Raw genomic sequence first — 14,497 nt, forward strand, 5'->3', positions numbered from 1 at the left:
TGGCCCAGCTTGGCAGCGCCGACGGCAGGAAGAATCCGGTCGGCCATCCGTCAGGGAGACGGAGTGAACCCGAACAAGGGCTGTTCGAGGAGGAGAGCTGGGGAAATTTGATCATTAAGAAACCCTCCTGGCTGTCTGGGGGAATTTAATTAAATTGCTGGAGAGGGCTGAGAGAGAGGGCCACATCTGGAACCAATATGTGGGCTTTGATTTTTTTTCCCCCTTCTCTTTCTCTCTCTCTCCCTCTTCCCATCTCACTGCTGTAAAAGGGAATGTAGTCGAGCCTTGGAGTATTGGTTCCTCTGGGACAGAATTCCAGGCAGATTGAGAGGGAGAGAGACAAGGCAGACAGAAACCAAAAAATGAAGACAGTGAAATCGTGATGGACACAGAGAGAGACAGAAAAACCGATCAAGAAGGACCGAGAGAGGCAGAGGCAGGAAGGAGGGGGAGGTGGGCCAGGCTGGGCTTTGGGATGTGGTTATGAAGGTGTAAGCGATGACAAGGGTTAAAGACCCATTTTACAGACAAACAAAGGAAGTCAAGTCCCAGAGAATTGCAGAAACCAACATACCAGGCCAAGCATCCCTTGGGTGGCCAGCATTGATCAAGCCCCTAAGTCGCTTGGTACATGCCTCGTGGGGTGAACCCTCCCGACACACCTAGGTCATAGATACTGTCATTATTCCTGTTTGCAGATGACAGGGGATGTGACTAGCCCAAGATGACAAGGTACAGGAGTGGCAGTGCCGGGATCTGGTCCTCAGTCTGTCTGGGTACTGTCTAGACATGCTGCATGGGTCACTTGGGTTGTGATGATGTCATTTGGCAGCTGTGGAGTTTGTGCTTGCTGGTGCCAAGCACTGGGCTAGGCTCTAGGGAGGCAGCAGTGTGGTTGTTGGGCCTGAAGCTCCCAGCAAGCCTGGGGCGTGCTAGGTGCCGAGTGCTAGCGGGAGCCAGGGCCAGGTGGCCTCGCCTGGGCAGTCAGTGGTGGTTGAAGTGGGCCCTCCACCTGGGCAGGAGTGAACTGAGAGAGGAGGTGGGGGCAGAGGCAATGGGGCCTCTCTCTCTGCCCCTCTGGAGGAGGAACCCTCCCGGCCCCAGGTCCCAGCACCGGGCTGGTCCAGGGTGGGTGTTCATGGCCTGGGAATGGCGGATGGTTTTCTCACCTTGACCCCCAAGGCCGAGCTATCTGACACTGGCCTGGTCCCCTCTTTCAGACAGTTTCCAGCATATGACATGAGCCATCTGTCCCCGGTCTCCAAGCTTACTGGTTCCTCCCAGGTTCCAGAGCGCCCAGGCCCACACGAGTCTCCCAAAGGCCTTTCAGCCATGCCTGCAGGCGGAGAACATGGCCTCTGGCCTGGGCAAGCAACCTCTGGGGTAACCCTCTCCCCTCTAAGACTCAACACCGGCTCCTAAAACCCAACTCCAGCCCCTTGCTACCTGCTTCAAAGCTGGCTTCAGCCCCTGCAGAGACTTCCCCCTAGAGGAGCCCTCGTCCCCAGACAGCCAGGGGCCCCTTCCCTACTCCCATCCTGCCAGGGTGACTGATGTCCAATCCTGCTTCTGCCGTGGCACCTGCATTCTCCTCCACTGCGTGAGTGGAACGGCCGACTTCAGTCTTCCTCTCTTGGCTGTGGCCCCAAGGGCAGAGGCCACTCTACCTGGTCCCCAGTGTCCAGCCCAGGGTGAGCAGAGGAAAGAGCTTGGTACATTTTTAGTAGAGATGAGGTCTTGCTGTGTTGCTCAGGCTGGTCTCCAACTCCTAAGCTCAAGCAATCCTCCTACCTCGGCCTCCCAAAGTACTGGGATTACAGGCGTGAGCCACCGTGCCCAGCCGAGCCCATTCTTGCAGGTGCAGCCGCATTCAGGAGATGTAGGGGGGCCAGGTCTACAGATGGCCAGGCACCTATGGATGTCCCATAACCTTGGTGCATACAGAGTTTAAAAATATAACTTGAGGCCGGGCGTGGTGGCTCATGCCTGTAATCCCAGCACTTTGGGGGGCTGAGGCAGGCAGATCACCTGAGGTCAGGAGTTCGAGACCAGCCTGGCCAACATGGTGAAACCCTGTCTCTACTACAACAACAAAAATTAGCGGGTCATGGTGGTGCGCACCTGTAGTCCCAGCTATTCGGGAGGCTGAGGCAAGAGAATCACTTGAACCCGGGAGGCAGAGGTTGCAGTGAGCCAAGATCATGCCACTGCACTCCAGACTGGGCGACAGAGTGAGATTCTGTCTCAAAAAATATATATAGGCCGGGCGTGGTGGCGGATGCCTGTAGTCCCAGCTACTCCGGAGGCTGAGGCAGGAGAATGGCGTGAACCCGGGAGGTGGAGCCTGCAGTGAGCCGAGATCGCGCCACTGCACTCCAGCCTGGGCCACAGAGTGAGATTCTGTCTCAAAAAAAAAAAAAAAAAAAAAATATATATATATATATATGTAAATATATATACTTATATATTTTTATATAAAATTTATATATATAATTTTTATATAAAATAGAAATTTATATATTTTATATATATATATATATAAAACTTGAGCTCTTGGGCATGCAGGGGAAAGTGAGGCACAGTGATACCAAAAATGCTACTGTGAGTTGCAGCCCCCGGGAGCAGGTAAAGCCAGGTGCTCTGAGGATCCTTTGCACGTGCTAGGTCTCCTGCCTGGCCACATCTAGACCTGGCCCTCCTACACCTACTGAATGCAGCTCCACCTGCAAGAGTGGGCTCAGCTGGGCACGGTGGCTCACACCTGTAATCCCAGCACTTTGGGAGGCTGAGATGGGAGAATTGCTTGAGCTTAGGAGTTGGAGACCAGCCTGAGCAACACAGCAAGACCTCATCTCTACTAAAAATAAAAAATAAAAAAATTAGCCAGGTGTGGTGGTGTGTGTCTGTAGTCCCAGCCACTAGGGAGGCTGCGGTGGGAGGATCGCTTGAGCCCGGGAGATTGAGGTTGCAGTGAGCTGTGATTGCACCGCTGCACTCCAGTCTGGGTAACTGAGTGAGACCCTGTCTCAAAAAAAAAAAAAAAAAAAAGAAAAGAAAGAAAAGAAAAGGAAAAACAGGCCGAATGCAGTGGCTGACGCCTGTAATTCCAGCACTTTGGGAGGCCAAGGTGGACGGCTCACCTGATGTCGGGAGTTCGAGACCAACCTGGCCAACATGGTGAAACCCCGTCTCTACTAAAAATACAAAAATTAGTTGGGCATGGTGGTGCATGTCTGTAATCCCAGCTACTTGGGAGGCTGAAGCACAAGAATCACTTGAACCTGGGAGGTGGAGGTTGCAGTGAGCCAAGATTGTGCCACTGCATTTTAGTCTGGGTGACAGAGTGAGACTCTGTCTCAAAAAACAAACAAACAAACAAAAACAGTGGGCTGAATGCCTCTTCCTCAGGGAAGCCCTCCCTGATACCCCTCTCTCCCCCTCCCTTATGGTCCCTGATCTTCTTGCTCCTACATTCGCTATCAATATTGGCTCAGTGACTTCCCTGCATTTCTGGGCCATCTGATCACAGCTTTATCCCCAGTGCCCCTCCCCAGTCCCGGATGGTGGCCGCTGCTGTTTAGTGGACCCCAGGCTTGTTGTCAAGACACGAAGGTTTGAGGAAACTGGGGGCTGGCTCAGTGAGTGGGCTGGTGAGAGGCAGAGCTGGGACTCGAACTCAGATCTGTGTGGGGCGGAGTCACTGGCATCACCACTGGGCGCTATTTCCTCCTGGGGCAAAGGAGGGAGGCCTCCAGGAATCTGAGGATTCAGGGCTGAGCAGCGGGAGGCAGGTGGGGTGTGGGTGGGAGGGTGGAGGACCCGAGGCCAGGATCCGAGGCCAAATTTGCTGTACTGAGATCTGGGTGATTTGATGGGGCAGGGTATGGTGGGGCATAAAATACGGCTACCTGCACTGAACTCCCCGGGAGGGAGAGGGAGAGGGAAGACCAGTGGCCGGGAGAGCAAGCCAGACTGCAGGGCCATTCACACGTCCCGCTAATCTGAAACAAACCAACGGGGAGGCTCAGGGTCCCGCTTGGAGGCCCTGACAGGGTGATGATATACAGATTTTTAAATAAATGTATCTCATTAGGGACGCGTTGTCTGGTGAGAGAAAAATGATGTCCTTCCCTGCCCTGCCTCCTATTTCCAAAAAGAAAAAAAAAAATCCAATGCTACAGCTAAAAAGGAAATTGCATTAATACAGATTGTTTTATTTAAAAAACCTTGACCTCGACTTCAAAAAAAGTCATTAGACATTCTCTTTCTCAAAGGCTGCCGGAGTGATTACGGGGAGGCCTGCTCCTTTCTCAATGACTTACTGTTCCTGCACTGCTCAGGGAAATGTGTGAGGGATCGGGGAGTAATTTAAGGCTGCCTGCAGAAAGGTGTGTAAATCTTTGCACGTTTAAAGAAACTTTACCAGACCACTAACTCAGAGGAAAAGAAAACTGGAAGAGTCCGCACCCCCTCCTCCTTTTTTCCGTTTCTTTCCTTTGGAACTCTGATCTCTTTGATCGTAAACATGATCATATTTCACTCCCAAAATATCAGCAATCAGCGGACTAAGGAAGTGGGAGCCCACGGGGAGTTTCGCCGCCGATTAGGCCCTTGGTTTAATTATTTAACGCCTGCCTGGATCGTGCAGGCTGTGAATACACCCTCCTGGCGCGGGTTCAAGAGTAAGTTATAAATAATAATAACTATTATATCCCCAATTAAGCCCGTGAGCTGAGAGCCTGGTCCCAATCCTCAGCCCCGCCTGGTCGTCAGCCACTGTGCTCCCCATCCTCACATGCCCCCCCACGCTGTGTGCAGTGGACAGCCTCACACAGCTCCACCGCACCGCAGGGGAATCGCAGCAAGATGTAGGGCCCGGGGAGGGAGGAAGGCAGGCCCTGAGGGCTCCAGAAGGCTCTGGGAAGTCTCAGGGCCCCCCAGGCCTCAGCCTGTGCCCCTCGCCTCAGGCATCCTTCCCACGACTCCCAGGGAAGGAACGACAGGGGAGAGTGGGGAAAGTTTGCCAGGAGACAATTTGGAGAGCAGTAGTGGGAGTTGGGTCCCAGATTCGCGGTTAGTCCTTTCTTCTCCGAGCCTCAGTTTCCCCATTTGTAACTGAAGGGAGTTCTCCAGCAAGGGTCATCCTGGGAGCTGTGTCTGTCCCAGAAACCCAAAGCCCACAGTTTGGAAGACGTCTTTGTTGGAAGAGTGGTCAAGCCTGTCCGAGTTCAGTCTGCAGTAACCAGGCTGCCACAGCTGGACCGTAGCATCTCCTCAAGAGGCCCACTGGGGTTCACGGCCCGGTGCACACCCGGGATGCCTCAGTGTATAGTAGGTGCTCAATAAATCATGGTGGTGTGAATCATTCAGGATTGTTTCCCATTGGGCTCCCTGTGAAGCCTGCAGTCCCTGAGGGGTGGCAAGGGGGTTGCCTGGCCTACAGCCCTGCTCTCCTGGAGCCCTGCGCCAAGTAGGCACCCAAAAGTAGCTTGTCATTTGTTTCCACACCCAGATCTGGGCCTGTCCTTGCTCTGCTGGGTCCTCAGGATTCCAACCTACCTAACAGCCCCCACAGGATTGGCCAAAGTACAGTCCACCACCCTGGTGCCGGTCATTTCCTGCCAGGTGGGCAGTGGAGACCCTGACCACCAGCATTCCACCAGATGCTCACTCTTGGGCTCGCCGTGTAGGGAGCCCTGCTATGTGCCAGCTGCCCCCGCCTCCTGTAGCAGTTTCTCCTGTGTAAGGCTTTGGGGACTTCATGGTGAAAAGGACACACAAAGTCTTTGGACTCTCATCTACAGCGTCAAGAGGGCACAGCAAACAGCTTACAGTGAGGAAGCTGAGGCTCAGAGAGGGAAGTGAGTTGCCTAAAGTCACACGCAAGCCCACAGTGGGACCGGCCTTGAACCCAGCAGGATCTTCCCACTTAGGACAGGTTCTCTCTCTATGTTGGCTTTCTCGAAGCCTTTCTTCCCATCCATAGGTGATGTTCACTGAATATTTTCAACATATGGGCTCCTGCTAGGCTTTTTATTATACATGGATCTTTTCATTTGATTCTCAGAACCCTAGCAGGGAGGTGCTATTATTACCTATGGCTTCACAAGGATGGAAACTGAAACCCAGAGAGGTGAAGTGACCCAATCAATGTCCGGCAGCTGGAGAGTGTCGAATGTGGGGCCAGCACCTATAAAAGATTTAAAACAAAAACAGGAAAACAAAGAACCATGTGGGAGGAGAAGAAAAGGGGGGCTAATACACTGACTTGCCACCTGGACAGATAGAGCTACTGTGATTACATCATAACACTAGCTCTGGGTTTCCTGGTAGCCAAGGCAAAAAGGGGAATACAGCAGGTTGCCCAGGTTTCATTATTTGTTTTTTTGTTTGTTTGTTTGTTGTTTTTTTAAAGGAGAGACTATAATTCTTCAAGGAAAAAAAGATAACTTCCTGGCCCTTAATTCTCATGGAACAACTTGGCGTGATGATTGAGAGGCTGACAAACTTACTGGGACACAGAGCTTAAGATCTCTGAGCCTCAGTTTCCCTTCCTTGCATGAGAGTCGTAAGGAGGCTTTGAGACAATACGGTTTAGTATTAATACATTGCCTGGCTTACAGTAAGGCTCCTTAAGTGGGACCCTGCTATTGTGGAGCTCATCTTTATCTTTGAATTTGCAAGTAGGTCAGAACCTTTTTCAAAGGGGTGTACGATTTCAACCCTCACCAAGAGCTGAGCACCAGTCACTTACTTCAGCAGGGTATCCCAGTCAGGAGATCCTCAGGAAGGAAACCAAGGCTAGGAAATGTTGAGCAGCGAGCCAAGAGAGATAGCCAGATATTCTACCCCCCCGAGCTCAGCCTCCACTTCCCAGGGGATAGACTGGGGTCTGGGATGAGCAGGGAGCTCCACTGTAATCTCAGCCTGACACAATATTTACAGAACGCTGTGGTCTGTCACGGTCACACCTAGTCATGTCTGAGTCACATCAGCCTGCGGTGTTTATGATTCCCCAGACACACAGCAGTGAGCACAACTTCGCCTGTGTGCCTCTGTGTCCCCTCCCTGTTCAATTGCCTTCTTCAGAACAGGCTCTTGGGTCTGTGGCTGCAGGGGCTGATCAACTGAACCAGAAGGGCTGCAGGATTCCATCTTGTCCTTGGTCTCTGTTTCCCCATCTGTGAAACGGGCCTAGTCCTTGAGTCATTGACGATCAAGTGTCTTGCAGAGGTTGTGATGGTTTAAAAATGACACTAGGCCGGGCATGGTGGCTCACGCCAGTAATCCCACCACTTTGGGAGGCCGAGGTGGGCGGATCATGAGGTCAGGAGATCAAGACCATCCTGGCTAACACAGTGAAACCCCATCTCTACTAAACATATAAAAAATTAGCCGGGCTTGGTGGCGGGCGCCTGTAGTCCCAGCTACTTGGGATGCTGAGGCAGGAGAATGGCGTGAACCAGGGAGGCAGAGCTTGCAGCGAGCCCAGATGGCACCACTGCACTCCAGCCTGGGTGACAGAGCAAGACTCCGTCTCAAAAAAAAAAAAAAAAAAAAAAAAAAAAGAATGACACTAATGTAACTCAGTAAGAAATAGAGAACTGTTCCAGTGGAAAATCAGTCGTGAGGCCGGGTGCGGTGTCTCACACCTGTAATCCCAGCACTTTGGGAGGCCAAGGCAGATGGATCACTTGAGGTCAGGAGTTCAAGACCAGCCTGGCCAACACGGCGAAACCCTGTCTGCCTGTAATCCCAGCTACTCAGGAGGCTGAGACACAATAGTCGCTTGAACCTGGGAGGTAGAGGTTTCAGTGAGCTGAGATTTCCCTTCTGCCTTCCAGCCTGGGTAACAGAGTGAGACTCCATCTCAATAAAATAAAATAAAATGGGTAGTGAATATAAACAGACATTTCACAAGTAAGAAACGCAAGTGGCCATTAAATATCAGACACTTACCTTTAGCAATAACTCCAGATATGCAGATTGAAACAGAGAAATACCTTTTGAAATTTAAAGTAAATTATAGTAGTTTGTGCTAGCAAGGATACAGAGAAGCTGCCAGGAGTAGAAGTTGATACAACCTTTCTGAAGACAAAGTGGTAATATTATCAAAAGTCTTCAATCTGTGTAGAATCTTTGACCCAGTGTGTTAGTTTTTTGTTGTTGTTGCTGTTTAGAGACAGAGTCTTGCTCCGTCGCCAGGCTGGAGTGCAGTGGCGCAATCTTGCTCACTGCAACCTCCTCCTCCCAGGTTCAAGCAATTCTCCTGCCTCAGCCTCCTGAGTAGCTGGGACTACAGGTGCATGCCGCCACGCCTGGCTAATTTTTTGTATTTTTAGTAGAGACAGGGTTTCACCATGTTGCCCAGGCTGGTCTCGAACTCCTGAGCTCAGGGAATCCACCCGCCTCAGCCTCACAAAGTGCTGAGATTACAGGCGTGAGCCACCACGTCCAGCCCAGTATGTTAGTTTTCTATTTGTTGTTACAACTCATCACAGGCTGGTGAGGTGGCTCACACCTGTAATCTCAGCACTTTGGGAGGCCGAGGTGGGTGCATTACTTGAGACCAGGAGCTTGAGATCAGCCTGGGCAATGTGGTGAAATCCCATCCCTACAAAAAATTAGTCGGGTGTGGTGGCCTGCACCTTAGTCCCAGCTACTCCGGAGGCTGAGGTGGGAGGATGGCCTGAGCCCGGGAAGTCAAGGCTGCAGTGAGCTATGATCACACCACTGCACTCCAGCCTGAGCAATGGAATGAGACTTTGTCTCAAAAACACAAAACAAAACAACAACTTATCACAAACCTATGATTTTAAAAACACAAATTGGGCCAGGCGTGGTGGCTCAAGCCTGTAGTCCCAGCACTTTGGGAGGCTGAGGTGGATGGATCACTTGAGGTCAGGAGTTCAAGACCAGCCTGGTCAACATGGTGAAACCCCGTCTCTACTAAAAATACAAAAATTAGCCAGGCATGGTGGCGCACACCTGTAATCCCAGCTACTGAGGAGGCTGAGGCACAAGAATCGCGCGAACCCAGGAGGTGGAGGTTACAGTGAGCTGAGATGGTGCCACTGCACTCCAGCCTGGGCAACAGAGTGCTCGCTCTGTCTCAAAAATAAATAAATAAATAAATAAAACACAAATTGATTATCTTAGCTTTCTTGGAGTCAGAAGTCCCGGGCTACAATCCAGGGGCTGGCGGGGCTGTATTTCCTTCTGGATTCTGTTTCCTGCTTTTTCCAGCTCCTGGAGGCTACCTGCGTTCCTTGGCTTGTGGCTGCCTTCCTCCATCTTCAAAGCCAGCAACAGCCAATAGAGTCTTTCTCACATCACATCACTCCGACAGCAACTCTGCTGCCTCCCTTTTCCACTTGTGATTACTATATGGGGCCCAGCCAGATAATCCAGAACAATTCTCCAGTGTTAAAGTCAGCCGATAGGCAGGCTTAATTCCATCTGTTACCTTAATTCCCCTTTAACACATTCATGGGTCCCAGGGATTATGATATAAACACCTTTGGAAGGTCATTATTTGCCCACCACAGCCTATTCTAGGTATTTATTCTTTGTGTGTGTGTGTGTGTGTGTGTGTGTGTGTGTGTGTGTGTGTGTGTGTGTGTGATGGAGTCTCGCTCTGTTGCCCAGGCTGGAGCGCAGTGGCGCGACCTCGATTCACTGCACACTCCGCCTCCCGGGTTCACGCCATTCTCCTGGCTCAGCCTCCCAAGTAGCTGGGACTACAGGCGCCCGCCACCACGCCCGGCTAATTTTTTTGTATTTTTAGTAGAGACGGGGTTTCACCGTGTTAGCCAGGATGGTCTCGATCTCCTGACCTTGTGATCTGCCCGCCTCGGCCTCGCAAAGTGCTGGGATTACAGGCGTGAGCCACCGCGCCCGGCCATTCTAGGTATTTATTCTTAAGAAAATAACGGTGTGGCCAGGCGCGGTGGCTCACGCCTATAATCCCAGCACTTTGGGAAGCCAAGGTGGGCGGATCACCTGAGGTCAGGAGTTCCAGACCAGCCTGACCAACATGGAGAAACGCCGTCTCTACTAAAAAGTACAAAAATTAGCTGGGTGTGGTGCTGTATGCCCGTAATCTCAGCTACTCCGGAGGCTGTGGCAGGAGAATCGCTTGAACCTGGGAGGCAGATGTTGCAGTAAGCCGAGATTGTGCCATTGCACTCCAGCCTGGATGACAGAGACAGAGTGAGACCCCCTGTTCAAAAAAAACAAAAACAAACAAACAAAAAAAAAAAACAAAGAAAGAAAGAAAGAAAAGGAAAGGAAAAAGCAAATGGGGAAACTGAAGCCTAAAGAGTTTAGGAGCCTTAACGAAAGCCCATAGTGGCCGGGCGTAGTGGTTCACACCTGTAATTCCAGCACTTTGGGAAGACGAGGTGGGCGGATCACCTGAGGTCAGGAGTTCAAGACCAACCTGACCAACATGGAGAAACCCCATCTCTACTAAAAAATACAAAAATTAGCTGGGCATGGTGGTATATGCCCGTAATCTCAGCTACTCGGGAGGCTGAGGCAAGAGAATCACTTGAACCTGGGAGGCAGAGGTTGTGGTGAGCCGAGATTACGCCATTGCACTCCAGCCTGGGCAACAAGAGCAAAACTCCATCTCAAAAAAAAAAGGAAAAAGTCTTGAACGCCTCGTGTGTGTGTTAAGGCCTTTTAGGAATGGGTTATAGGTGATTTTTATTCTCTTAATTCTAATGATGCTTTCTAAAATCTCAACCATAACATATTACTTTTGCAATAAGAAAAGTTACCTTTTCATTTTTAACATGTGAGCTTTTGAGACTGGGGCAAATATGAGTTTTCACTGAAGGTCAGACCTAGAACTTAGCCTCAAATGGAACCACCAGTGAATAATCAGCTCCTTCTCCGCGAATCCCATCTGGTGAGCAGGGGCCCTCTTTCTTTCCCTTCCCTTTCTCCCTGGCTGGCTGCAGTGCCCGGCTCAGTAACCACAAGTTGATCTGAGAGGTTCTGAATGGGAATCCTATTTGCCCTCCATTTCCTCTTCTGGGTTAGCCTCTCAGATTTATCAAAATCATCATGAAATGATTTATTTTTAGCCATATCCCTTTGGGGTGATGAGTCCCTGAGTTCTGCCCTCCTGGGATTCCCTGGAGTTTCCTTGGGTGTATTCCCAGGCTGGATCAGAGCTGACGCTCATGCTCAGCAGGTTATAAAACAGGAGGTAAACATACTTCCACTTTTATAACATAGGACTATAGTATACAATCCTAAACATAAAACTATATGTAGGACTGTATATTATAGAACTTTCTTCATCTCTCTAGATATATAGAGATAAGCTACAAAGATATATTCGAATTATTTTTAGTTCATCCCTTTTTCTTGTCTTATTGCTTTCTTGTCTTATTGCACAGTGCAGCAGTCTATGCCCTTTGCCCCACCCTTCCATCCCTGCCCCAACCCCAGCCCTTATCCCCAGGCTGGGCAAGGGAATAGGCAGCAACAATAATGATGGTAAATCCACAAGAACCCTTTGGATTGGCTCCTCTACTATTCCTATTTTACAGACGATGGGACAGACTCAGGGAGGATGGGCAAGTGACATATTCAAGGCCACGCAGCCAGTAAATGGCAGTGGGTAGATTCATACCCATGTCCCTCAGCTGCACAGTCCGAGTTCACCATCCTTGCCCTGTCTACTTCTCAGAACATATGTTTATTTTATTTGTTTTATGTATTTATGTATTTATTTATTTTTTGAGACAGAGTTTCACTCTTGTTGCCCAGGCTGCAGTGCAATGGCGAGATCTTGGATCACTGCAACCTCTGCCTCCCGGGTTCAAGCAATTCTCCTGCCTCAGCCTCCTGGGTAGCTGGGATTACAGGTGCCCGCCACCACACCCAGCTAATTTTTTGTATTTTTAGTAGAGATGGGGTTTCACCATGTTGGCCAGGCTGGTCTCAAACTCCTGACCTCAGGTGATCTGCCCGCCTCAGCCTCCCAAAGTGCTGGGATTACAGGCATGAGCCACTGCGCCCAGCCAGATATTTAAAAAATAATCATTGTTAACATGTATTAAATGCTCACTAGGTACCAGGTGTCCTTTATTTATACATTGGTTTATTTAATCCTCCTAACAGCTCATTTTCTTTTTCTTTTTCTTTCTTTCTTTTTTTTTTTTTTTTTGAGATAGGGTCTCTTTATCTGCTGACCTTCCCTCCACTATTGTCCTATGACCCTGCCAAATCCCCCCCTGCGAGAAACACCCAAGAATGATCAATAAATACTAAAAATAAATAAATAAATAAATAAAATTAAATTAAAAAAAAAAGAGAGATAGGGTCTCACTCTGCTGCCCAGGCTGGAGTGCAGCGGTGCCATCACAGCTCACTGTAGCTCAACCTCCCAGGCTCAAGCAATCCTCCGATCTCAGCCTCCAAGTAGCTGGGGACTATAGGCATGCATTGCCACACCAGCTACTTTTTTTTTCTAGAGATGAGGTCTCACTATGTTGCCCAGGCTGGTCTTGTACTTCTGGGCTCAAAAGATCCTCCTACCTCAGCCTCCCAAAGTGCTGGGATTACAGGCCTGAGCCACCACACCCAGTCAGCTCATTTTACATTTAAGGCCCCCAAGAGAAAGAGGCTAAATAGATTGCTCAAAGCTCAGGCAAGGTCTTGATCTGCACCCAGGAGGCTGGTGCCAGACAGCCATCATGCTACAGAGATGGAGTTACCTCTCAACATGTGTAGGATGAGTAATTGCAGGAGTGAGTGGAAGAAGCCACTGTGGCCACTGGCCATGCCGAGAGATCGGAACACTGCGCTTCCCAGCTCTGGGCCTCGCATTGCTGATCTGTAAAACAAAAGGGCTTAAACCAAACAATTTCCATGGTTCTCCCAGCTCCAGAAGAGCTTTCACCTTTTTTTGGCCTCAGTTTTCCCATCTGTCTTCCAAGGGAATGATCTAGATGATCCCTCAGGCCCTTTGACTGCACAGGCCAATGTCAACAGTACCCTCTGTGTGTTCCAGGCCATGGGCCCAGAAGTTCACCTACTATGGAGTCCCCATTGTGCCCAGGAGACAGGCTCTTCATTAGGCGCCTTCCACTGTCAGGGAGCTGGGGCTTGGAGAGGGGAGGTGCTGATTTTTTTTTTGAGATGGAATTTTGCTCCTGTTGCCCAGGCTGGAGCACAGTGGCGCGATCTCGGCTCACTGAAACCTCCTCCCAGGTTCAAGCGATTCTCCTGCCTCAGCCTCCCGAGTAGCTGGGATTACAAGTGCATGCCACCATGCCCAGGTAATTTTTGTATTTTTAGTAGAGATGGGGTTTTGCCATGTTGGCCAGGCTGGTCTCAAATTCCTGACCTCAGGTGATCCACCTACCTCGGCCTCCCAAAGTGCTGGGCTTACAGACGTGAGCCACCACGCCCGGCCAAGGTGCTGAATTTGAGGCCACATGGCAGTAGGGGCATAGCTGGGGCTGGAACCCTGTCTCCAACACAAAACTGTTCTGCCTCTGGGATGAAGCCTCTACTCAGTGGGCTGTGCTTTTCCTGGGTAAGACCCCTCCACTCTGAGGGTTTTGCTGGGTGCAGGGGCAGGGTCCTCCCAGACATCCTGAGCCCAGTAGTGGCCCTACCCTGCTCGGTTCCTCAGAAAGTGGTTCAGCCACACACACTGTGGGCAGCACTGGGTATGCCCTGGTGCCCAGACTGGGCTCCTCCCAGCCGCCTAGGATGAGGGAGACTGGCGCCTCTTTGCTGGCCTTTCTTGCTGGACACTCCTTGGAGCAGAGGTCCAAGGACGGAGAACCCCGTCATCTCCAAACCCTCCCTACCCATGTGTGCACCTGCACGGATTGCTGTGGCTAAAGACACTTCAGGGACACTCGGCCTCATTTTTTAAATTATTATTTCTTATTTAATTTAATTTATATATATTTTTTGAGATGGAGTTTCACTCTTGTTGCCCAGGCTGGAGTGCAATGGCGTGATTTCGGCTCACTGCAACCTCCGCCTCCCAGGTTCCAGCTATTCTCCTGCCTCAACCTCCCCAGTAGCTGGGATTACAGGCGCCTGCCACCATGCCCAGCTAATTTTTTTTATTATTATTATTTTTAGTAGAGACAGGGTTTCACCATGTTAGCCAGGCTGGTCTCGAACTCCTGACCTCAGGTGATCCACCCACCTCAGCCTTCCACAGTGCTGGGATTACAGGCGTGAGCCACTGTGCCCGGCCTACTCGGCCTCATTTTGAAGTCGATTCCTTTCCAGCGCGGGAGGGGGTGGGGGCGGACACAAACAACACACGCTGTGAGGATTAATGTATTATAATGTATTGCTAGGCTTTCCTTAAAAATAGTGTTCCCGGCTGGGTGCGGTGGCTCACGCCTGTAATCCCAGCACTGTGGGAGGCCGAGGCAGGTGGATCACCTGAGGTCAGACGCTGGAAACCAGACTGGCCAACATGGTGAAACCCCTCCTCTACTAAAAATAC

The sequence above is a fragment of the Homo sapiens genome, chromosome 9 (assembly GCF_000001405.40).
Source record: "Homo sapiens chromosome 9, GRCh38.p14 Primary Assembly".
Classification (NCBI taxonomy): Eukaryota; Metazoa; Chordata; class Mammalia; order Primates; family Hominidae; genus Homo; species Homo sapiens.